The 25,211-nt window shown below is 47.3% G+C and overlaps 1 protein-coding gene across 29 annotated transcripts in view, besides 1 other annotated feature; it reads right to left on the bottom strand.

The window, feature by feature from the left end:
- Nucleotides 1-25,211, bottom strand: part of PPP2R5C (protein phosphatase 2 regulatory subunit B'gamma) — a 167,420-nt gene that overhangs the window by 4,316 nt on the left and 137,893 nt on the right. For 17 of the 29 annotated variants that reach the window (XM_005267819.2, XM_005267827.2, XM_047431541.1 and 14 more), the window contains 5 exons: nt 21,788-21,958; nt 17,148-17,275; nt 13,987-14,088; nt 11,204-11,276; nt 5,730-5,846 (listed from right to left, as the gene is read on the bottom strand). In XM_005267819.2, coding sequence (XP_005267876.1) covers nt 5,730-5,846; nt 11,204-11,276; nt 13,987-14,088; nt 17,148-17,275; nt 21,788-21,958 — 591 coding nt within the window. Of the gene's footprint in view, nt 1-5,729; nt 5,847-11,051; nt 11,277-13,986; nt 14,089-17,147; nt 17,276-21,787; nt 21,959-25,211 lie in introns of those variants that run through there. The other 12 variants (NM_001352914.2, NM_001161726.2, XM_047431540.1 and 9 more) reach the window with 3 other exon arrangements.
- Nucleotides 5,852-6,507: an enhancer, noted in NCBI's record as "NANOG-H3K4me1 hESC enhancer chr14:102383507-102384162 (GRCh37/hg19 assembly coordinates)". NCBI's record gives its function as "activates a minimal SCP1, AML or CMV promoter by ChIP-STARR-seq in naive H9 embryonic stem cells {active_cell/tissue: H9 hESC(naive)}" and the evidence as "EXISTENCE:reporter gene assay evidence [ECO:0000049][PMID:30033119]".

Genomic DNA, 25,211 nt, shown 5'->3' with positions numbered 1-25,211 from the left:
ATATTAACATTCACTCATGGTAGGGGCAGGACTTTTGGTTTCTTGTTTCCCTGGAAACCAGCGTGAGGGTTTTAGGAGAATCATCCATCTCTGGAGATGGTGAAGGTCACGGTCCCCTCACCCATCACGGTACTTGTAAGAGCGTGTTAACGTGTGAGGATGTAAAGCATGTCTACCTTCAACCCAGAGGTGAAATTCTACCCTGAATTTTATGCCCATTCTATGTTGATCTGTAAAACAAAGTGAAGCAAAACAAAACCAAGATTTTTATATACTTGAAATATGTAATTACAGCTGAAATAGGCACTCCAAAGAGAAGAAACATATTCATAGAAAAAGGCAACAGTAAAAAGCTTGGAGCTGGAACCAGTGAATGCAAACTGAGAACACAAACATGACCCCAGAGCTTCTGAAAGGACAGAAAACCGGTGGATATATCTGGGCCTTTCTGCTTAGACATTTTAAATTGATGTGTAAAGCAGAGAATAATTTTACCATCCACAAGGCAAAAAAATGAGAGCAGCAGCAGGCAGGGAGAATAAGACAGCATGCAGATGGCAGGCTGATGAACGGCCTGGCAGAGGGGATGTGCAGGTGAACATGCTGGCAGGGGCGGAGCGGACCACAGGAGACACAAGTCAGAGAGAGGTGGCCTCTCTTCTGCAGCCCACGGGCAGACCCGGAAGGCTCAATGTAAACCGTAAATGCTGAAAGCACACCAGGCATTGGGCATACATGGCTATGCAAGTTTCCTTCCTCTTATAAAGGTGTAACTTCAAACTTTACTACTTAATTTCAGATAGAAATAATCAACATTTCTTAAGGGACCAAATTTCTTTAAAATTTTTTTTTTATTTTTATTAGAGACAGGGTCTCTGTCACCCAGGCTGGAATGCAGTGGCATGATTACAGCTCACTGCAGACTCCAACTCCTGGGCTTCAGGGATCCTCCTGCCTCAGTCTCCTGAGTAGCTAGGACTACAGGCACGCACCACATGCCTGGCTATTTTTTTTTTTTTTCTTTTTCTAGAGATGAGGTCTTGCTGTGTTGCCCAGGCTGGTCTCAAACTCCTGGCTTCGAGCAATTCTCCTGCCTCAGCCTCCCAAAGTGTTGGGATTACAGGTGTGAGCCATGGTGCCCAGCCACCAAATTTCTTTCTTTTTAAAAATTATTTTATATTTATTTTTGACACAGAGTCTCGCTCTGTCACCCAGGCTGGAGTGCAATGGTGCAACCTCGGCTCACTGCAACCTCCACCTCCTGGGTTCAAGCGATTCTCCTGCCTCAGCCTCCCAAGTAGCTGGGATTACAGGTGCCTGCCACCACGTCCGGCTAATTTTTTGTTATTTAGTAGAGATGGGGTTTCACCATGTTGGTCAGGCTGGTCTCGAACTCCTGACCTCAGGTGATCTGCCCGCCTCGGCCTCCCAAAGTGCTGGGATTACAGGCATCTGCCATTGTGCCCGGCCTCCCAGCTGCCAAATTTCTTTCTTTGTTTTGACCATCACAATCTGGAATGACATGGACAAAAGGGAAAATACTTCATGTCCACGTTAACTCGTCAATTCTTCTCCTGGAGAACAGGCCTTCAATGTGCTCTACACGTTGAGTAATGAGAGCCTGCACTGCCCACCTTCCGTCTCTCTACACCTTCCTTACTTGCGTGGTTGACACTGCTTTTCTCCCGACCAACTGTTAAAAATGAGAATTGCAAACATTTAAAATGTCTATAATATAAATGTTATTCACATGATATTTGCTAGTTTTCTTTGAATGTTCTGTATAGGGTTATACTAGTTTCTTGAAGGAAATGTAAATAAAGGATAGGTAGATACATGGTTGAATTTCTCCACAAAAATCCAGCCTACTCCATCCATCAGCATCAGAGCCTGCTTCCCACTCTCCAGCTATTCCTTCAACTACCTCTCACACCTCTCCCTACCCAACACTCACATCATCTCAAAGAAATGTGAAATTATTTTGGAAAAATAAAGTTAGCTGAAAATAAAATTAAAAGGGCACTGAATATAATCAAATGACTATATATAAAAACCAAAAAAGCTTAATTTTCAGCTATCATTTCTTACGTCAATTTGGTCACCAAATTGTGCACGTTTTTCCTGCATCCCGGTACCTTTTTTTTTTTAATTTTCAGAGTCCGAGTCTGGCTCTGTCACCCAGGCTGGAGGGCAGTGGTGCGATCATAGCTCACTGCAGACTTGAATTGGTACCTTCTTTTTGCTTTAACCATAGTGCTTTCAGAATTTCCAGAAAACGACTCCAAACATTTTTCAACTTAAGAAAAGTTTATTGGCTGGGCGCGGTGGCTCATGCCCATAATCCCAGCACTTTGGGAGGCCAAGGCAGGCAGATCACTTGAGACCAGGAGTTTGAGACCAGCCTAGCCAACATGTTAAAACTCCATCTCTGCTAAAAATACAAAAATCAGCTGAGTGTGGTGGTGCCGGTAGTCACTGCTGCTTGGGAGGCTGAAGTGGGCGGATTGCTTGAGTCCAGGAGGCCGAGGCTGCAGTGAGCCAAGATTGTGCCACTGCATTCCAGCCTGGGTATCAGAGCAAGACCCTGTCTCAAAAAAAAAAAAAAAAAAAAAAAAAAAAAAAGCAGAATTTATCATTTCAAATATTACACCTAGAGACTGCACTTCATAAATACCTTCATCTGGATAGGTTGAATTCAACTGAATTCAATTGATTCAACTGATCCACAGAAATCTACAAGGAGTCAGGCCAGGCACAGGTCCTCACACCTGTAATCTCAGCACTGCAGGAGGCTGAGGTAGAAGGATCGCCTGAGCCCAGGAGGTTGAGGCTGCAGTGTGCTGTGATCACACCACTGCACTCCAGCCTGGGTGACACAGTGAGACCCTGTCTCCAAACACAAACAAAAACTATAAGAAGTCTTGGAATTGCATAGTATTATTAGTCTTCCAACTTTGTTCTTTTTCACAGTTGTTTTGGCTACTCTAGATCCTTTGCATTTCCATGTGAATTTTAGAATTAGCTTTCTCAACTTCTTGAGGATAAAAAGCCTGCTGAGATTCTAATGGAGAGCACGTTAATCTGGGGAAAACAGACATCCCAATGACTCTTCTGAGTCTTCTGACTCAGGAACATAATTCATAGAGATCTAAGGATGAGGTGAGGGAATCACTGTTGTAAGAATATCAGTCACACAGGAAACCCGGTGACAGAATACAATTTCAAGAGTTGTGAAAACAAGGAAGCAGACATGCTACAGGAGTTCTCCAAGAACTGTCCTGCCTGTGTGTGTATTTACAAGTAGACACGTGGATGGCCATAGGACTGGTTCCTTCCTGTCACTGTATAAGGTAACCCTCCCAGGAGGGGACGTGCCCCTTTCTAAGGGCAGTGGACAGACCAAGCAGTTGGACGTTCTGGGGCCCCGAATATCACACAGATACTAGGCCTGACTTTCAAAGGCAGCTTTACTCAGGAGAGAATGCTATTTTGGTTTGCATTCTTGATCAAGTTCTTGATCTACTACAGAGCAGGACCTAAATTGCAAATATGCACACACCTTTCAGGTACATCACATTTTGGACCTAGTTTATTCTTTGTCTAGCTTTAATTCTGACCTAAGTCAAAGGCTATACCAAAAATAAAAATTCCCCAACCCTAAGCTATTTAATGTGTAAGAATTGGTTTTTTTTTTTTTTTTTTTTTTTGAGACGGAGTTTTGCTTTTCTTGCCCAGGCTGGAGTGCAGTGGCACCATCTTGGCTCACTGCAACCTCCACCTCCCAGGTTCAAGCGATTCTCCTGCCTCAGCCTCCCAAGTAGTTGGGATTACAGGAACCTGCCACCAAGCCTGGCTAATTTTTGTATTTTTTAGTAGAGATGGGGTTTCCCCATGTTGGCCAGGCTTGTTTCAAACTCCTGAGCACAGGTGATCTGCCTGCCTCGGCCTCCCAAAGTGCTGGGATTACAGGCGTGAGCCACCACACCCGGCCAAGAATTGGCTTTTTAACTGTGTATAGCCTCGTGTCTTAAAAATGAACACGTGGCCACAAACTCCCAGGCAGGTTCCCTCACAGAAGAGACACCGACTGTGATTTCCTTCTGTGTGCAGTAACAAGGTCAACTTAACAAGTCTTGAGCAAATTTGAAGCCACAAAATCAAAATGGTATAAAAAGGCAACCTTAAATTCCTGAGTTAAAAAAAAATATCAAGAAGAACATTAACACTCCCACAAAGAGAGAAATATATACAGATTTTCATATTTTTGATGACATCTATTCATTGCTAAGAACATTCATGGTGAGGAGAATATGGAACCAACTGGATTAGATAGAAAATTAGTTACTGATATTCCAAGTCTTCAGTGAGCTTTTCCACTGTATTTCTAGTATTTTCAGGCTTTGATGAGCTAAGAAAAGCATTCAGTCATCTATTTTGCTCTTAACCTGAGTTGAGGAATTAGAGGGGCAGAAGAGGCCGATGACCGTGGCTGCCGTGGGGACTTGGTGCCGTGAGCCCTTTCCTGTGCAACTCCGGAAAGGAGCCGGGGATATGGCGTCAGCCATGTGCTAATTCCGAATCTTCTAGCAGTCACATTCAAGAAGTAAAAAAGAAATGGGGGGCATTCATTCAAACAACATATTTTATTTAATGCAGTAAAGGAGTAAAACAATGGCTACTCCACAGGCGGGGCGCCTACTTTCACTTCTTACCTCAGAATTTTAGAAGGGGATGTCTTTTGGAATTCTTTCGCTGGTCAAAAAGAGGTTAAAGTTTCTCAGTGAGAAAGGCCAATGTCCCCAGGCCATTTGGGACTACTGTTTTAGTTTACAGGCATTTGAAACAGGGAGGGACGCTCAGGGAAACACGGCAGCTGAAACGCTCCTTGAACCCAGGCAGGAACTGAGTCAGTTGTCCTAAGTGTCTACAGGCCCAGCTGAGGAGTAACAGTGGTCGGAGGCTCTCTTTGGAGGTGGCCTGTGACCAAAGCACTGAAAGACAGTGCCCGGGAGGGGGCGAGGGGGGCGAGGGGGGTCAGGGGGGAGAGGGGGAGGGGTGGGGGGGCGAGAGGAGTGAGGGGGATGAGGGGGGCAAGGGGAGAAGGCTGAGGGGTGGGGGGAGGGGTGGGGGGGCGAGAGGAGCGAGGGGGATGAGGGGGGCGAGGGGAGAAGGCTGAGGGGTGGGGGGAGGGGTGGGGGGCCAGAGGAGCGAGGGGGATGAAGGGGGTGAGGGGGGAAGGGGACGGGGCGAGGGGGGTGAGGGGGCAAGGGGGGAGGGGCAAGGGGGTGAGGGGACAGGGGGAGGGGCAAGGAGGGTGAGGTGTCCTAGGGAGAGGGGTTGTTAGCACCCGCTGTGAAGAGCTAAGGGAGCCTCTCTGGGTCGAAGCAGAAGCCAGAGGGCTGTGAAGAAAACAGCGAGGGGTGGATATGGCTGTGAAGCTTTCGATTTTGCTGGAGTGAACATTTAAAGAACAGTTAAGAGTTGGGATTACTACTGCTGTTAGTAAATGGAGATACACATCTCAGGCACATACTTAATCCTTAAAAACTGTTTCTAGTAATTTGATCACTAAGATCTATCGATACAATGTTTCCTATAAGACTAGCAAAATTTAAGTTTTAATTTCAGCTTAAACAGAAGGCACTGATGCAAATCACATCGCCTACAAAAATGTGCATTTCTTAAGCAAATCAGTCATGGGTGCCCAGCTGAGCTCGGTGCACTTTTACCTGATGAGCCTCGTCCTTCACTGTCTTTCTCAGCATCTGCACATCTTCAAATAAAGGCCCATCTGTCTCCATTGCAACCGGAATGCTCATGGTGCTGGCTTGACTATACACTGTGTACTGCAATGCAAAGCGTGGAGTCGCTCTGTTAGGTGCCCAGGCTCTGAACTCCAAGCTTCTCATCCTGGCTAGGGACTCATCTCCCCTGCCGCCCCCCAGGGCCCTCTCCCGCAGGAAGCCCACTCAGTGGGAGACTCGCCTACACCTGCAACATGATGCGGCTGCTGACTTCTGAAACCAGAAAGCACTCAGTGGAGACAGTAAAGCAGCTGGTCCCCTCCTGACCCCTCTGCATCTGATGGACAGTGGCCCGCCCATACCCTGGCCCACACCCCATGGCCTCTGCAGTTCTGACTCCACGTGAGCAGCCAAGTGCGAGGTCGCACCCTGGGCTCGGTGGTGGGAGCTGTCTCACCACTGGAACCCTCACCTCTGGCCGCCCATTCTTTGCCAGCGACCTCCAACCTCATGATTCTTTTCCCTTTCCTCTCACGATCATGTCCTCTCATCGAGACAGCTGGCACGGTTCTCTCTCCCCTTTATCCCATTTTCCCGGCTTGCTTATGAAACCCTCTCATCACATCCCGGGTGACTTGCTCTCCACCAAAACAAACGCAGCCTGGGTGAGCCTGACGCTCCCTCTCCATTCCCTACGGGCGGCCCTGGGACTTCTCCACTCTCCCTGTGCTCTGGATTGAAACACAGATGGCTCAGCCCTCAGTCACTGGGCCTGGTTGACTCCATTTCCATGAGTGTAGTGCGGGGGTAAGGTCACCCCGGAGGGTGGCTGTGAGGGTTCCATGAGACAGGGTGCACAGGACAGTATGACTGTGACGAGCGTCTGCTGGCTCTGAGGGCACAGGCGAAGGAAGTGGCATCTGTGTCTGCTGTGAGCTGGGAACTGTGTGGGGCGCCTGTTTGTCCTGCGTGGTCGTGTGTGTGTACTGCCACCCTCACCTGGCTGATGGGGGAACTGGGACATGGAGGGGCTGGGGAACTTGCTCAGGGCCTCTGAGTTCAGGAGAGGGGAGCGGGGGTTCCTGCCCAGGCTGCTCTCATCCACACCCCTCCATTCTCTGCCCAGTGAGTCCCACAGCTTCGGCCTCTTTCAGGCTGAGCTCCTGTCACAGCAGCGCCCTCCTGCTGACCTGCTTCACCCCTGCCTCTCACCCCCTGCCCCCTCACCCCTGCCCCTCACACCCTGCCAGCCCAGAGCAGCTCCGTTCTCAGCCACCGTCTGGTGTTGGCCCTCATCCTCTGACGGAGCCACCTCTGGCATGAGGCCTATGGGTGCCCTCTGGCTGCTAAGCCCTTCCCGGCCTTGCCTCACTGGGCCTCTCTGAGGAATGATGACCATGGACGCCATCATTCAGCCCTGAACCTGCACCCTCCCTCGGTCTCTGTGACCCCAGCCTCTCCTCCAGGTGCCTTGGGCTCCTTCCTCTGTGGGCTGTCTTCGGCCTTTTCCCACACCCTCTGTCCCTCCTTATTCACCCTGGCTTCCATGCCTCCAGGCCCAGGCCCTGCTGCTCAACTCAGCCCACCTGGCTTCCACGTCCCCCAAAAACAGACGGGGCACACACCCTCAGCTGGGTTCCTTCCTTGAAGGCCAGTCAGACCAGGTCCTCAGCGCCCTGTGCCTTCACTCCCACAGCTCCGCCCAGCACCACGATCTCCACACATCTCCACACCCTACCCCGACAGCCCCAGCACTCCATCCATGCTGCGCCAAAGAGCTTGCAAAAATGCAAGTCGGGCTGGGCCATTTTGCCCTTTATGGCTCTTTAATATCTGCTGACATTTTGGGGGAATTCTGCTCCCTCTCCACCCTCACCTCTCAGCAGATCGCACCGGCCCACCCCATAACTGACACCCCACCAGGACCGACACCTGTCACCCACTGTGTCCCTGCTTTTCTCTACCTCTGCCGCGGGCACCTTCCCTCAAGTCTGACTGGGTGAGGCCCCTTCAGTCAAACCAAGAGGCCAGGCCCCCGTACTGTGTGTGTCTTTCTTTAGAGATGGGAACGAATAAGCTGGTCCTGCCATCTCCAGCACACTCCCCCAGGTATGTTATTAATACAATCTGATCATCTGAGCTGAATTCATCTGCCTCTCCTAATGGACTGTAAGCTCCCTGAGGCTGGGGGCTATGTCTTGTTCTCATCTTTGTATCCCTAGAAATTTCCACAATTCAGGACACAGCACCTTTCCTCGAGGGGGCTCACAGTCAGGTGGGAGATACAGAAACCTAAGTGGCTGCAAGACTCCTGAGACTTGCGGGGACTGTTTCACACCAACGCTTCTTCTGCTTTTGACTACTCCAGGCAACAAGCAGTGCTCTTCATGGGACCCACCAACAGCCTCCGCTTGGAGCACGGCTCTCTGGCCCTCGGGGCAAAGGAGAGTGTCCCTACACAAGAATGCTACCAGATGTTCACAGCAAAATAAACCTCACACAGCGGGCACTGGCAGGAGAGGGTTCTGACTAGGAATAAAAACCTTCACTGAAGGCCAGGTGCGGTGGCTCACACCTGTAATCCCAGCACTCTGGGAGGCCGAGGCAGGTAGATCACAAGGTCAGGAGTTCGAGACCAGCCTGGCCAACATAGTGAAACCCCGTCTCTACTAAAAATACAAAAATTAGCCAGGCATGGTGGCGTGCACCTGTAGTCCCAGCATACTTGGGAGGCTGAGGCACTCCGGAGGACTGCTTGAACCTGGGAGGCGGAGGTTGTGGTGAGCCGAGATCACGCCACTGCACTCCAGCCTGGGTAACAGAGCAAGACTCCATCTCAAACAAACCAAACCAAATCAAACCAAACCAAACCAAACCAAAACAAAAACCTTCACTGAGGTGCATTCCGCACATGAGCTCCTCTCTCGAAGGAAAGGCAGGCATCCGTCCCAGACCCTGCCCTGGGTTGCTCATGGCAGTTTTGGTCGTTGCAAACACTGAGCCACAGCTACTCTGAGTCTCACAGAAGTGCCTGTCTTCATTTCATATGATTCCCACAAAAGCTGGGGGAAGTGAGTAGTAAAATATTATATGGCCCCTTTTGATGGATTAGGAGAAACACATTTATGTTAGAAACTGCCAATGTTTCATGATTTTAGAAAATTAAATCATCTGTGACATTAAAAACCCCAATAAAGTTGCCATAACTGCTCAAATAAGACACACTCCTGAGGGCACCGCAGCCTTCCCGGGTCCCCAACGCCTGCTGGGTACGTGCTGTCACACGTTTGAGTGGACGAAGGCTCGGTCTGCAAGGACGGGGGGCATCAGGGAACACACAGCGAGTCCCTGGGAACCCACCTTAAAAACAAAGCCCGCAAACCAATTCTCCACAGGCAGATCTGAGATGGAAAACCAAACTTTGAAAACCCAACTATTTTCACTACAGAAATAACCAGACTGTATTATCCACAAAATTATTGACTTTTTGTTGCTGTTGTAATGGGAAGCAGTGATCAGAATTTAGATATTTTCTCCTGAGAATGAGAAGCAAGTACGAGGCCAGAGTTTCCAGCTCTGAGGTATTGACCCATGAAGTATTTTCTGTTTAGGAGACCATGTGCCATGCGACTAGAGCATGTGGACGAGACTCATGGGGACTGCGTCACAGATGGCGTCAACACAGACATGAGGACAAGGCAGGGCTAAGCTCCCAGCATCACAGTTCGTCAAAGCTCCTATGCAGAACCACGGCATGCCTGCCACCACCACAGACGTTTGCAAAGAGAGCAACCAAAAAGAATACAGAAAGTTACTTGAGAACATTCAGGAAAAGTTGAGAAAAAGAAAAAAGAGAACAATACGTATTTCAGAAGAAACATTGGTTACGTACAGTATGTGCAGTAGTGAAACTGGGCCATGTTTGTCAACACAAACAACCAGCTCTTGATTTGTAATGTAACAATTTTATGCAATTTTTCAATAAGTTATCTCTATATTCTAGGTACATAAAATCAGACCTTCTGATTCGTGTGTGTGTGTTTGTGTGTGTGTGTGTATTCATTTCTCACATGTTTTCGAGGCTACTGATTTCAACTGCATGTGTACTGGGGTCCTTGACAATCCTGAGGGCTATCAGCACCCACTTTGCCTGAGGCTCTTCAGAACAAAGCAAGACACGCAGGGCAGCGTCAGGCAGGGCTGGGCCTTATAAACTTGCCCAGGTTTATAGTGTTACCATGTTTTAAAACAAATATCAGTATTTTAACCACACTTTCAACATAAATTCAATTCGTTAAAAGGAGACGCCTATAGCTACCTACCTCAATTAAGGATTATACAGTTTTAGACAGTAATCTTAAAACAGCATTTCTGTCAGCATGAGTAAATAACTGCTAGAAAAATGCTGGCTACCTGTTTTAGGTGGACTCAAGGGCTCACAATTAGAAATGTCATTCCGTTTTCCTGATTTGAGTTTCCTGATTGCAGTTTTATCAGAGTATACAAACCAGTATGTTGTTATATAGGTAAAGATATACTTTTAACTTTATATTCATGTATAACTTTTTATTAAGTGTCAGAGAAATCTAAAAACCAACTTAGGTAACTATGCATATCTCTCACTAAAAGAAATACATTGTTCGGTAAAATCTTTTCTGGAGAGTTGAAGGAAAGCTTGAGAATTCTTAAGAGTGGCAAAGATTCAGACAAAAGATTTTCTGAAAAAGATTTTCTTTTTAAGAGGCACTGTTATAATCAGGCACACAGAACGTGAAGAAACTGTCATAACGCTCTAGTCATTTACAGCAGCGTACATCAAACCCAAAGACCATGACACCAGGAAACCCTCCCGGACCCTGGCAGCCCCGGCAGCTGGAACTGCCGGCAGCTCCGGGACGTCCGGCCATCGGCGCAGACTCACCAGAGCACACTGGCACCCGCTGCTGGGGTGGGAAGGAGGGTTGGCTGCTAATGTGGCAGAATTCAGCTGATTTTTAATGATAAAAGGCTGGGCTTACAGAAACCTCATACAAAGAAAGAGGACATCAAAACGTCATACTTAATCTATTTCCAATCTAATTTCCTTTCTTTTAGAACTAATTTCATATGAAAAAGAAAGGGAAATGCTGTTTGAGTGACAGCATCTATGATATCTGAGAGAGGAGGCACAGTCTCAGGCTGTATTCAAGTTTTCTTTTTACCACAGTATATGCATAAGATTCAGATCTTATTTAAAAAGCAGAGGAAAAAAGTCAATTCTGTGGTAAAACGATATGGGGCAAAATAAGTACTTGTACAAAAGGAGGGTTACAAAGTTTAAAAGTACTTTTTATTGCAGACATTTTCATATACAACGTTAGTGAAATCGAGACCCCCCCCATGGTGAAGACATATATTCCTATCTTATAAAAACATTCAAGTAACCCTGGGCGTTTTCATGTTATTCTCTTTTTTAGTACCTGGGGATTGGCTTTGGCTAGATTTTCTATTTTAACCCATGCTTCTTCCCGTTCTTTCATTTTTAGCTTCTCTCTGAAAAACAGTAAAATGTCATCTGTGTTAGAGATGCATCAGACACAAGAACACACTGAAGGGGAAAAGGCACAGGCATGTTGAGCCCAGCCAGCGGCTCCTCCCGCAGCCCCCCTGCTCCATTTCCCCACACTTACGTGCTGAGCACAGCATGAAAAACGAACTGAGATTTAAACATGAGAAAATATAAAAAAATTTAACATGTCCAAGATTGGAATTCTTAAAAGAAATCTTATATAAGTACGTCTTATGTCTCAATCCTTCCCCCTTCCCCTGGTTAGATGTTTCTTCATGGGACCCACATAATTTTGACAAGAAGCTCATATATCCACTGAAAAAACGAGTATGCAGTACAGTGTAAAGGGACCAGTACTGTAAAAGGAGCCAGCATTCCCATTCCTATAATATTAAAAAGGAAACGTCTTAAGAGCCAGGAGACCTGGGTTGTTGACTGACTCCACTGCGAGTCACATGACTTTCAATCGCTTAACTCAGATCCAAGTTTTTTTTTTTTTTTGAGACAGGGCCTCACTCTGTCGCCCAGACTGGAGTGCAGTAGCAGGATCTTGGCTCACTGCAACCTCCACCTCCCGAGCTCAAGCAATTCTCCTGCCTCAACCTCCCGAGTAGCTGGGATTACAGGTGCGTGCTACTACCGCCCGGCTAATTTTCGTACTTTTAGTAGAGATGGGGTTTCACAATATTGGCCAGGCTGGTCTCGAACTCCTGACCTCAAATGATCCACCAGCCATAACCTCCCAAAGTGCTGGGATTACAGGTGTGAGCCACTGCGCCCGGCCAGGATCCAAGTTTTTCAACCCAGAAAATGTACTACACAACCTTTAAGGTCCTGTTGGGAAAGCTGTGGGATTCCACGAGAGGAGGATCTGCCATCAGAAGGCCCTGCTGCTTGCATGCTTCCTACCTGCGAACTGCACTGAGAGCTGAGATGAGAACAGACCATGCAGCTGGCAGCTCTAGAGGAATGGCTGGTCTGTCTCCCCGGCCCTTTCCTGACTGACTTGTCATCTCTCATGCTCTATAGTTCACTTAGGTGTATTTTGTGTTCTTTTATTTCCCCACACTACCCAGAATATAAACCCCAAAAGGGCAAGGATTTTTTTTTTGAGACGGAGTCTCGCTCTGTCGCCCAGGCTGGAGTGCAGTGGCGTGATCTTGGCTCACTGCAAGCTCCGCCTCCAGGTTCACGCCATCCTCCTGCCTCAGCCCGAGTAGCTGGGACTACAGGCACCCGCCACCACACCCGGCTGATTTTTTTTTGTATTTTTTTTTTTTTTGAGACGGAGTCTCTCTCTGTCTCCCAGGCTGGAGTGCAGTGGTGTGAGCTCAGCTCACTGCAAGCTCCGCCTCCCAGGTTCACACCATTCTCCTGCCTCAGACTCTGAGTAGCTGGGACCACAGGCGCCTGCCACCACGCCCGGCTAATTTTTTGTATTTTCAGTAGAGACGGGGTTTCACTGTGTTCGCCAGGCTTGTCTCGAACTCCTGACCTCAGGTGATCTGCCTGCTTTGGCCTCCCAAAGTGCTGGGATTACAGGCATGAGCCACCATGCCCGGCCTTTTTTTTTGTATTTTTAGTAGAGACGGGGTTTCATTGTGTTAGCCAGGATGGTCTCGATCTCCTGACCTCGTGATCTGCCTGCATCGGCCTCCCAAAGCGCTGGGATTACAGGCATGAGCCACCACGCCTGGCCCTTTTTTGGTATTTTTTAGTAGAGATGGGGTTTCACCGTGTTAGCCAGCATGGTCTCAATCTCCTGACCTTGTGATCCACCCGCCTTGGCCTCCCAAAGTGCTGGGATTACAGGCGTGAGCCACCGCACCCGGCCCAGGGGCAAGGATTTTTGTGGGTTTTATTCATTGCTATATTGCCAGAATCTAAAACAGGGCCTGGTGTATAAGGTAAATATTCACATATTTGTCTAAGGAATGACTAAATGGCAGTTGTTTCATATATATACACACACACACACACACATAGATACACACATATGTATACAGTGTATTTTGAATTACATTCGTGCAAAGCTTATCTACCTTAGCCAGTTTTAAGTGACAAGCAAAAAATAAAATCTGCCAATAGTCCATACTCAACTTGGAAGAAGTGACCTCCAACAACTATTTAATCACATTATTACTTGCACAGCCTAGGGACGAAGTACTTTGTCACTTAGATCATCCCTGGACACATGTGGGCTCAAAGGCACGAGGGCAGGACCCTGATTTTGCAAAGGACAGACTAGATTCCAGAGAACACCCACATCGCTGAGTTCATTAAATCAGAATAAAGCTACATTGAAATGAAGATTCTTGCTCTCTGGGATAAACCTTATAGGATATAATTCAAATCCCTGCCTTATAAACATGAAAATGGACTACACATTATAGCCTTTAAGCCCATTATAGCCCAAGAAAAGAAAAAATTCTGAATGTTAAATTCTTGCTTACATAAGCACTTTTTGCAAAGATGATTAATCTGGCAATACAAGGGGGGAGAATAGCTACCTTTAAACACCTGTTCTTTCAAAATACGTTATTATAACACAGTTTTAATTTGCTTTCCAAGTATGAAAGGCTTGGTTTTGCTTTCGAGTGAAGAATACCGTTTTAGGACAAAACAGTGGAAGAGGTTTACTTAGGATTAAGAAAAAAATCCTGGAAACAGTAACTTGTGAAAGGAACAACTCACTTTAGTTTCTCTGCTTTGAACTGTTGTGTACAGTCATCAAATAGCTTTTGGTTCATCTCCATGAAGAGCTTCAGGGCGTTGTATATCAAGCCATGTATTGTCCTATAAAGAAAACCGCACGGTGAGCCTGGGAGCACGCATTCCTGCTGAGCCCTCGCCTCTCCACTCTCAGGCTGCTCCATATTCCAACAGTCCCACATCGCACAGGATCCCTAAGGTCTAAAATGCAAGGCCTGCTCATTCCGCGTTACTTGTTTTCTGACAGCCACACATCCCGAGACTTTCTTCACAGTGGCTCTCACATAGCCACAGAGGCCACTCCACTCACTGTCTCCAGCTGACAGTAGCCAAAAACGACCTTGCTCAGAAACTGAATTAAAAACATTGAAACTTGAACAAATATAGTTAAGACAAAATTATAAAGAGGACAATAATGGCAATACTTGATTTCCTATAAATGTCAGTTTCTTTTCATCTTATTCCCTGAGGACAGAAAAATTAATTTTAATAATGGCAACACAGAGCTTTGAAAGAGAAAATAAAATGAGCATAAAACAGCTTAATCAATGCTTAGCTCTCAGGCTCTGACACGCATGGAGAGGGAAAGAGGCCAAATTGTTCCAGCTGAGCCTCTGGGTGACTCTAGTCCCAGCTGCCATGGGACTGCAGCCCTGTAAGAGCCCCGATCCCCCAGCAGACACCAGCGAAAGCCTGCGCAGCAGGACCTGCTCGACCCGCAGGACTGTGAGCAACAGGTGCCAGTAGCTAAAAACAAATAAATCCCAAAAAACGTAACCCTCAAATCATAATTCCTTCTTAATCCACTTTGTAATAAAACCCAAGTTGTACTTAGAAAACACTTAAAAGAACATTTTTTTCTTTGCAATGGGCGGGGATTGGAAGTCAGTTATGAATTGTGCTGACTTACATACTAAACTAAATTACACACAAGAAACATGGCGACACTCCAGGGGCTTTGTTGTCATTGTTGCGATTAAAAAAAAAAAAATCAATGCAAGCCAGGCGCGGTGGCTCACACCTGTAGTCCCGGCACCGTGGGAGGCTGAGGCGGGTGGGTCACTTCAGGTCAGGAGTTCAAGACCAGCCTGGCCAACATGGTGAAACCCCATCTCTACTACAAATGCAAAAATTAGCCAGGAGTGGTGGCTCATGTCTGTAGTCCCAGCTACTTGGGAGGCTGAGGTGGGAGAATCACTTGAACCTGGGAGGTGGAGGCTGCAGTGAGCCAGGATGGTGCCACTGCACTCCAGTCTGGGTGACAGAGCAAGACTCCATCTCAAAAATAAATAAATAAATAAAATAAATCAATGCTACAAAGAACAGGTTGTTGAGGGTGGATGTGCTGTATTAACAACTACAACCACCACGCTATTGCCATGAGGGTCTTGGCTGCTGCCTCCACTGCTATCAGCATGGCTGCTGGCCCTACAACCACTAAGTGACAGCAAATGCTTACTTGGTGCCTATCATAAGCCAGGTACTTTACGCATATTAACTTTATCTTAATCCTCACAACCAAGTGAAGATTGTTGCAAGGCAAAGCACTTTACTTTCTCAGTTTTTCCAAAGAGAAACTGTGGCTAAGAAAGACCTGGTGAGAGCTAACTTCCCCGGGTTCAGACAGCTGCTCAGGAGGAAGGCAGGAATGTGAACCAAAGTCATCCTCACTCTGATCTGCCTGCCCTTCTCTGTTGAATTTCTGGGCGGCAACCCTCAGAAGACTTGACGCGAGTGGACTGGCTGGACGCTCGCTCGGGGGTCTGGCTCAGAGCTCCAGGGCTAACACCTGTCTGGCTGCTGCCCTGCAGAATTCTGGGAAGGAGGCAGTGCCACCTGCAGCCTCGAGCGGACAAGGAGAGAGGGTGCATGGGAGAGGGCTGGTCCGCCGGCAGCAGGGTGACTGTGCAGCACAGCCAGAGGGGTGCCCAATAGACACTGCGAGTTAGGAGACCGCACCGGGCCAGAGTGCCGCTCACCAGCTTTGGGACCGCAGACTGGGCTGCGAATGCCCTCCAAGTCTCACCTTCCTCACCCATAAACTAAGGGAGGAGGGCTGGATAGCATAACCTGCTCTTCTTTAAGTTCTGAGTTATAATTACAATATACAATGGAAAGAGATGAAAGAAGGTGGGGAAAGAAAAACTCAGTCGTATTTCTTTAAATAGCAGGAATATTAGATGATACCATATTAATAAATAATATGGCCTGGGCGCAGTGGCTCACGTCGTCCCAGCACTTTGGGAGGCTGAGGCAGGTGGAATACTTGAGTCCAGGAGTTCGAGACCAGCCTGGGCAACATGGCAAAACCCCATCTCTACAAAAAATACAAAAATTAGCCAGGCGTAGCGGTGGGTGCCTGTAGTCCCAGCTACTCAGGACCCTGAGGCAGGAGGTTTGCTTGAGCCCAGGAGGTCGAGGCTGAAGTGAGCCATGATCGTGACACTACACTCCAGCCGGGGGGACATAGCAAGACCCTGTCTAAAAATAAACAAATAAAATACAAATTTTAAAAAAGAAAAATAAATAAATAATGTGGCACCCATATCAACAGTTTCCTTTTAAAGTCTCAGAAGACTATTGCTCAGTAAACGGATTTATTCATCCTCTTTAAGTCAAAAGATGAAGGAGCGGAGTAGGAGGAAATGTTTTTGGCTGCTGGGACTATGGGGCTGTGTTCAGATCACCTGGCTTCCCTCTTCTTCTCCAGGTAGTGACCACTGTGGGGTGGTTCTTGGGTCTCACACAGGGGCTCATCCAGGGTGCATGTCAGCAGAGCTCAATAGACACCCCGAGAATGCAGTGGCCACTGTGCCCCCGCCGGGGCTGAGCCCCACTGGGCTCTGCAGAGACCTTCAGCTTCTCTGCAGGACGCTCAGGAAGAGGCCTAGAAACTGCTGCTACTGGGAGGTGGCTGCAAACCAATGTGCCTCTATACTGGCAGGAATGAAGGTATAAGGTGGTAAATTCAACGGCCACAGAAACAACCCACGCTGCTACTTAATTTATGAGTCCACAAAGCAACTGACCTTCTTGTTTTTTAATTGATATTTAAAATTCTGATATTTATTCTTACTGAAGTAGCAGTAAAACGTGCCATATTTTAAAATGACTGAAAAAGATGGCAGCCAGTTCTTTCTTACTTGTTCCAATGGGTCTTTGAGTTGCGGTACAAGGAAGGAAACATGATGGGCAGAATCTTCGCTGCGTTGTCACTGATTAAACTCATGATGTATTCATTATTCCAGTAATAGAGAGCTCGCTCTGCCACCTGAAAGACACAAGTGGATGGCTTGCTGGAGGTTGTGCCTGAGACATCAGGTGGCTGTCCTTGCTGTTAAACCTGTGAGTCGGGTAATGAACTACCTTGGACCAGAAAATTATGATTATTTCTACAAATTCAAAATATTCTAGACTGTAACCTGTAACCCTGAAGAGCCTTCAACAAAGAGGCAGACAACTTCTTGTACATCAACTCATCAAGAACATTGTCACCTATTTCTCTACTTATTCCGTAAACATTTATGCTAGATGCTGGCTAGATGCTGAGGAGACAACTCAAAGGAGGCCATTCCACCTATCCACCCGCCTCCCCCATCTGTCAGGTCAAGAGGGCGTGCTGTGTTCTGCTGAGCATTCAGCACTGAACAAAGCAAGGCAGAAATCCTTGACTCCACGGAGCTTACATTCTAGTGGGGAGGAGACAGGTGATGGATGATTATTAATTTACTAGAAACGATAAGTCACATACAAAGGGCAGCAGGGCAGGAGAACAGGCAGCGGCGGTGCGTGTGCGGTGGGGTGGCTTCAATGGGGAGGAGGTGACATCTGAGCAAGGACCAGAGGGAGGAGAGGTCCTGAGTTGTCAGCACGGGGCTGGCTGAGGACCACTGCAGAGGGCAGTGGGGGCATGAACAGTAGGAGGGCAGGGGAACAGGGCCTGAGTGCACTGGCGCTTACTCACGGGAAGCCACTAGAGGGTGGTTCCCCCATTTTTCTTTTCTTTTTTTTTTTTGAGATGGATTTTTGCTCTTGTTGCCCAGGCTGGAGTGCAATGGCGTGATCTTGGCTGACTGCAACCTCTGCCTCCCGGGTTCAAGCGATTCTCCTGCCTCAGCCTCCTGAGGGGCTGGGATTACAGGCGCACGCCACCACACCCGGCTTTTTTGTATTTTTAGTGGAGACAGGGTTTTGCCATGTTGGTCAGGTTGGTCTCGAACTCCTGAGATCAGGTGATCCACCTGCCTTGGTCTTCCAAAGTGCTGGGATTACAGGCGTGAGCTACCACGCCTAGCCCATCCATTTTTGTTTTTTAAAAAGAGATGGAGTTTCACTCTGTTGCCCAGGCTGGAGTGCAGTGGTGCTATCTCGACTCACTACAACCTCTGCCTCCTGGGTTCAAGCGATTCTCCTACCTGAGCCTCCTGAGTGGCTGGGACTATAGGCATGCGCCATCGCACCTGGCTAATTTTTGTATTTTTAGTAGAGACGGGGTTTCACCATGTTGGCCAGGCTGCTCTCGAGCTTCTGACCTCAGGTGATCCACCCGCCTTGGCCTCCCAAAGTGCTGGGACTACAGGCGTGAGCCACTGCACTCAGCCCCCCATTTTTATTACTAAAACTTTCAAAAACAGACAAAGCTGCAAGACTAACATAATGAGTGCCCACCTCCCTCCACCCAGATTCAACACTGTTCATACCCTACCCTATTTGCTTTTTCTCTCCGTAGTAAACCAGCACACAAGTGCACGTTCCACAGAACTATCTGGGAGTTCGAGGCAGTCACCAGGACACTTGGCCTGTCCCCATCACAGCATGTATGCCTCTGGGAAGAGGAGCTTCACCTGTATAACTACTGTCAACACCCTTCATCTGCACACAACTCACAGCAGCACTTGGAGGCTCTGAGCAGCATGGGGCTGACGCTTCTCCTGCCAGAAGCCTACAGCTTAGAGATCCTGAGGTTGTGGTGCGGTGTGTATGGGTGGGATGCTGAGAGAATGGCAGGTGAGCCTGTGCCAGGCTCAGGAATCAGGGCTGATTCCTCAGAGGCAGTGAGCTGGGATGAACTTTGCAGAAAAGGAGTGAGTTAGGTAATGGGGGAGGGGAGGGCATGCATGAGAGTGCGGCGTGGATTCAAAACAAGGCACAATCGCATCACAGCTCCTAGGCTAGTTCTTACTTAAGAGTTCAATACCTTGTACTTTAAAAAGCAACCATCTAGGCCGGGCATGGTGGCTCACGCCTGTAATCCCAGCACTTTGGGAGGCCGAGGCAGGTGGATCACTTGAGGTCAGGAGTTCAAGGCCAGCCTGGCCAACATGGTGAAATCCCGTCTCTACTAAAAATACAAAAATCAGCCAGGTGTGGTGGCAGGCGCCTGTAGTCCCAGCTACTTGGGAGGCTGAGACAGGAGAATCACTTCAACCTGGGAGGCAGAGGTTGCAGTGAGCTGAGATTGCACTCTAGCTTGGGCAACAAGCACAAAACTTTGTCTAAAAAGAAAACAAACCAAAAACAAAACCATCCATCCATCCATCCACCCACCCACCACCCACCAATATATTTGGGGGTAATATTTTAAGCCTGATTTAGAAAACAGAAGCTTAAGATGCTTGATGGTTTAAACTTTAAATTTTTCCAGTTTTTAAAACCAGTACTTTTTTTGGGTGTGAAAAAAACATCTAAAAGTTAAGAATGAGCTGGCGCGGTGGCTTATGCCTGTAATCTCAGCACTTTGGGAGGCCGAGGTGGGCGGATCATGAGGCTGGGAGTTGAAGATCGGCCTGGCCAATATGGTGAAACCCCGTCTCTACTAAAAATACAAAAATTAGCTGGGTGTGGTGGCACGCACCTGTAATCCCATCTACTCGGGAGGCCGAGGCAGGAGAATCACTTGAACCTGGAAGGCAGAGGTTGCAATGAGCCGAGATCGCACCACTGCACTCCAGCCTCAGGGACAGAGTGAGACTCCATCTCAAAGGAAAAAAAAAAAAAATTAAGAATGAGTTGGCCTTATGCATATGTGTCTGGAAAAGATTCTGGAATGTACTCTGTGCTGATCAGGTCCTCTAAGAAGCAGAAGCCAAGATGGGCGCAAGCGTGCGTGGGGGACACAGACGAGGGCGAGTTGGGGGGCTGGGCCTGCAGCTGAAGGCCTGAGTGGGTCCTGGCACTGAACTCCCTCATCAGAGGCATGGCAGGCCGCCCTGGCAGCCTTCATGCTCTGTTCCTGGCAGGGACGTGAAGGCTTCTGTGACATGTGGAGTGGCACCCAAGCCACTGGCAGCTGCGCGGCCACCTTGGCTCTGCTTTCCCCACCTGGACTTCCCTTCCTCCTTGCCCTGTCACATGCTTTTATGCAAAACAGCACATTGTGAGTCCACTTGTCCCTGTCTTCTCTTGAAGGTCTAACGTTACCCATAGCGATAGCTAATTTTGCATCTGGGGAAGGGGCTCAAGTTTTTGGGACACTTCCCACGACTGCCAGTCTCTCCTTGGCATACGAACGCCCTGTACTTCAGCCAGGGCTCCGTGGCGCTGGTCTCTACAGTTTCTAGGAAACCATGCTCCTTTGTGCAAAGTGCTCACACTGAAAGCCTTGAGAAACATTATTTTCTCTGTAGGCCAGGATTGATGAAAAAAAAAAAAAAAAAACCCAAAACATAATTTTCCTTTCTTAGTTCCTAATGTGAAAACTCATTGGAATTTATAAAATGAAAATAACCTGAATATTTGTATGGAAGAGACTACACCACAGCAGTTCCTTCCTTTAACCCGACTCAGCCTGGCCTCACTTTACTATGGCTGCCCGTGCTCCAGAGCTTCTTACTCTTCTATCACTTGCCTTCTTGTCTTAGTTTTGTTGGTTTCAATGATCTCTTTCCAAAACCATCTTGAAAGGCTCAGTTTGGAGGACCCCTCATTCTTGTGGACTTTTTCTAACCACTTAGACTTGTGCTAAGGTAACTGCCCATGTGTTTCTGAGAGCCTGCTGCACACGCCACCTGGCCCTTCACGTTTGGCTGTAAGGTGGTGGTGTGACATGGTCACTCTCTTCCACTGTGTGGCCTGCTCCCTGGGCACCGGGAGGTCTTGCTTATTTTGTGCCTATTTTCACCTTGTTCATGATGAGTGCACAATAAAATCCGCTCAATGATGCAAAAGGACAGGTGGCTAGCACGTCCAACAGAGGCAGGCAGGCTGGGAAGGTGTGTGGGGGTGGCCTTCAAAAGAGGTGATGAGCCGAGGCTGGCTTGAAGGGTTAAGGAAATTGGGAAAAGAAAGTAGAAAGTAGCTCTGACCAAGGTCGTCCTCTCGCACAGGAATTTGGCAGTGACAAAAGTCAGAGCTCTCAGCCTTTTTGAAAGGGTAAAGGGAGACAGATTTACACAGTGTCAGGAACGAAGGGCCTCGGCAGCAAGAGCATCTCAGAGCCGAGGCTTTGGCCACCCGTTGTCTATCAATATTGATGCTCAGGTGTGGAAAGGAGGGTGTTTATGAACTTGGAAGCACACTGAACATGAAGATAAAGACAGCTTTACAGAGAAGCCAGATGACTGCTCTTAGTGAGAAAAAGTATCGCGGCAGAAGGGACAAGATGCTCAAGGGTATTCTATAGAATTCAAGTTACAGCATCGTATTTGAAGTATAATTCAAGTAAAAACTTGGATTTTACCTTTAAATTGCATGAGAGGCAAAGCATGGCCAGCTACGCATGGAACTTTTCCTTTCCCAAATGAACACTGGAAGAATTTAATCAGGTCCCCCAAGCCCCACATACCTGGAAGTGTGGGCTGGAGACACATTTGGCCAACTGCCGGAAGAGGGGTTCCATGATCTTCACAAATTCTGATGGTTCAATGACATCTAAAATCTCTTCTAATTCGTTTAAGAACATTACTTCTTTTGGACTGTGAGTCTTTGGCCAGTATTTGAGAAGTGCCATCACCACCTACAAAAGAAATGACACGTGGAGTGACTGATGCCCACGAGGCCCCAACACCTGCATGGTAAGAAGTCTGTGTTTTCACTGCGGTGGCCCCACTGCAAGGCAACACACGGAGATGGTGCCATCTTCCTTACAGAGGGAACAGTGACTCAGTCATCATATGTGATTTTCTGTATTTGAGAAGTAGGTCTGTCTGTCTGGTTATCTATCTGATCAATCAATTTATTTAGAGATGGGTCACATTATGTTGTCCAGGCTGGACTTGAACTCCTTGGCTCAAGTGATCCTCCTCTTTCAGCCTCTGAGTAGCTGGGACCACAGGCACGTACCACCTGCCTGGCTTAATTTTATACACTTCAGAAATTACACAATTTTAGTTTATATAACCCACTTTCTCTGATCAAACACCATTTCAGTAAGAGTCCATTCCTTTTTTTAAAAAAAGAAAAAAAAATAAGAAGTTAGGACAATAATTTAGAAAGAATAAGATCAACGGAGAAAACACAGAGCATTATCAATTCATGTGTACATTTTAGTTGTGGAAGCAGCCAGTACTGAAACTGTGGGCCACGTGTACACAACCCATTTCTTTCTCAAATTTATCAACCATCCATATGTGTTTATACACAAACACACATACTTCTGTATGCATAGACAGTGTTTTCAACTGTGTTAAAATATATCAAAAGGAGTGATGTGAATTAAGCTGACCTTATTAACTCACATCCACAGGTACTGCGATGGGACCTCCCGGGCAGGGCGTACTGTGCTCTCTGTGCGCACACCTGTGGGCGTCAGATACAACAGCCTGAGCAGTGCTGGGCCTGCGGTGAGCAGGCTGCAGTGGCAGCTGTAGCCAGGATTGTCACCACCCAGAGGGTCTGTGCCACCAGCTCTCTGCCAGGCACAGCCCGTCGGACTGCAGTGGTTTCCCAGTTTGTGGATAGTGGATGTTTTATGTTCCTTGGCCAAGTCAGACAGCTAGAAAGAATTTCCACTGGGCAACCTTTCTTTATATGTTCCTGTAGTTTCCAAATGTCTTACCACAATCATACCAGTACAAAATACTGAATGTGAATCCATGCAGATTTCATAATATTTTTAGAGTTTAGCCATCTTAGTTCTAAAAGAGTACAACAATCCAAAACAGGCATTTGCATATGAAGTGCATATATGTGCTTACACACTGAATTGTACAAGTGCAATCCGGTGCGTTAGAGCAGCTCTTTGGCCTCGTCACAGCAACACCGCGGGGCTTCTACCCGACTCTTGTGCTGTGCAATTGCCACAAGTGCTGGCCCCCGGGACCGCCTGGTCGTTTTCACTCACTAGTCATTTCCAGCTCAGTAGATCGCACCAACTCATGGCTTAGCAGGCCAGCCTTTTAGTCATTACAGTGATTTTTTAAAAAGGTGGACATTTAACATCCATTTAGAAAAATTTTGTTTTGATGCTTTGGCATTTGGGCTCCCAGGTAATCTTTTATGATATTACACTTTATAAAACTCCAAAATTCATGAAACAAAGGAAAGTAAGGCTGGGCGTGGTGGCTCACGCATGTAATCTCAGGACTTTGGGAGGTCGAGGTGGGAGGAATGCTTGAGCCCAGGAGTTCGAGACCGACCTGGGCACCGTGGTGAGGTCCTGTCTCTACACAAAATTTAAAAATTAGCCTGGTGTGGTGATGGGCACCTGTGGTCCTAGCTACTCGAGAGGCTAAGGTGGGAGGATTGCTTGAGCCCAGGAGGTTGAGGCTGCAGTGAGCCATGACTGCGCCACTGTACTCCAAGAATCTAACAAACAAACAAAAACCCCAAAAGAGCCAAATAAAAATAAAAAAGGAAGTGCTGCTAGTTTTCAAGTCTGACATAAAAATCTACCATACAAGTGTCTTTAAAAGGAATTATTTCTAAAAATGCATCATTTAATGGTTCTCCTAGCTCAAAACTATTGAATAAGTATTTATTGTGTTCCTACCACACTTTGCGTGTATTGGAATCACTATTAAGGACACAGCAGATGGAAATCACTTCCTACATCTATTTCTCTTCATTTGTCAAATGGAATTTTATTAGGAGAAATATGTTAATTTGTGAACTATACAACACAACCGATTTAGCTATTCCATTTCTCTGGAAAAGGTATCATTTCTGGGATCGGATTCACACACGGGCCTTCCTGTTCACATTGTTTGGAATGAGCTGTGATCGGTATCAGCTATTTTGCTGCGTCAGTGTGGCGTGCTCTGTGGAGGAGGGTGTCTACTCAGGGAATGTGAATCCGAGGCAACAATGGCTGTGTGCTGCTGGGTGCAGCACAAGGCCCCGAGTTTTCCTTTGGAAGCCCAAGGACTGCCCGCTCCCTGCAGAGGGCAGGCGAGCCAGTGGCCCCAGCCTTGAGTCTTGGGGAGCCCCCTTCCTGTCCTGGTAGACCAAGGAGAAAGGAGAGCCGCTACTATGCCATGTAGTAAAATGTGATGAGACTGAAGAGGCAGGTGGGTGAAAACGGAACACAGTTTTACTTCTGTAAAATCTCTGATGAGCTTTTGTTATTCTTCCAACAGAGAAAGTGTTTCATGTGCCCAGAAAGCTTTTGAGCACTGTACACAATTAGCAAATGAAAAATACTAATTACAGGCTACAAATGGGGCAACACATGTCCTTCATATCTCAGTCTTCTAAGTGGATCTTACTTTAAACATTCCTGAGCCTGGACATTTGATGGCTTCAGGAGTCCCTTTGGTGCAGGCCTGGGAGATGGACGTGGACACCAGGTGTCCTTAGTGCTACCAAGAGATGTACACCTGCACCAAAGCCTATACTTTGATCATCTCATTAACAAGCTTTCAATGCTGAAATAAGACAAAATGGCCTTTGTGTTTTCATAAATAGGCATTTCAAAAGAGGGAATTTACTGACATGAGGGTCTGAATGTTCTTAACATGTAGGAAATTGAATCTGCTTTCTAAAGCCAGGACGGTACTATTACATTATCTGTGCAGCAGGAAACTAAGCAATGAAGTGTCCCCGGGTGGGAACATCGGGGCCTAGGTTGGTGGGGTTTGCACCTCCTTTGTGCTGGTGCCAAGTCAGAGTCCTGCATGTAACATTTACGCCGGAAGGACCCAACTGAAGCCGGCACGGGGTCTCTTGCCCTCTTTTAGACAGGACTGCAATTAACAGCTCTCACTCTTGCAAAGTGATATTCACTTTATTTACTATATTAGTGGGAATTAAAAACTTTTACAAACATTCTC

Source organism: Homo sapiens, chromosome 14 (assembly GCF_000001405.40).
Source record: "Homo sapiens chromosome 14, GRCh38.p14 Primary Assembly".
Taxonomy (NCBI): Eukaryota; Metazoa; Chordata; class Mammalia; order Primates; family Hominidae; genus Homo; species Homo sapiens.
This window is presented reverse-complemented; position numbering and strand designations above follow the sequence as displayed.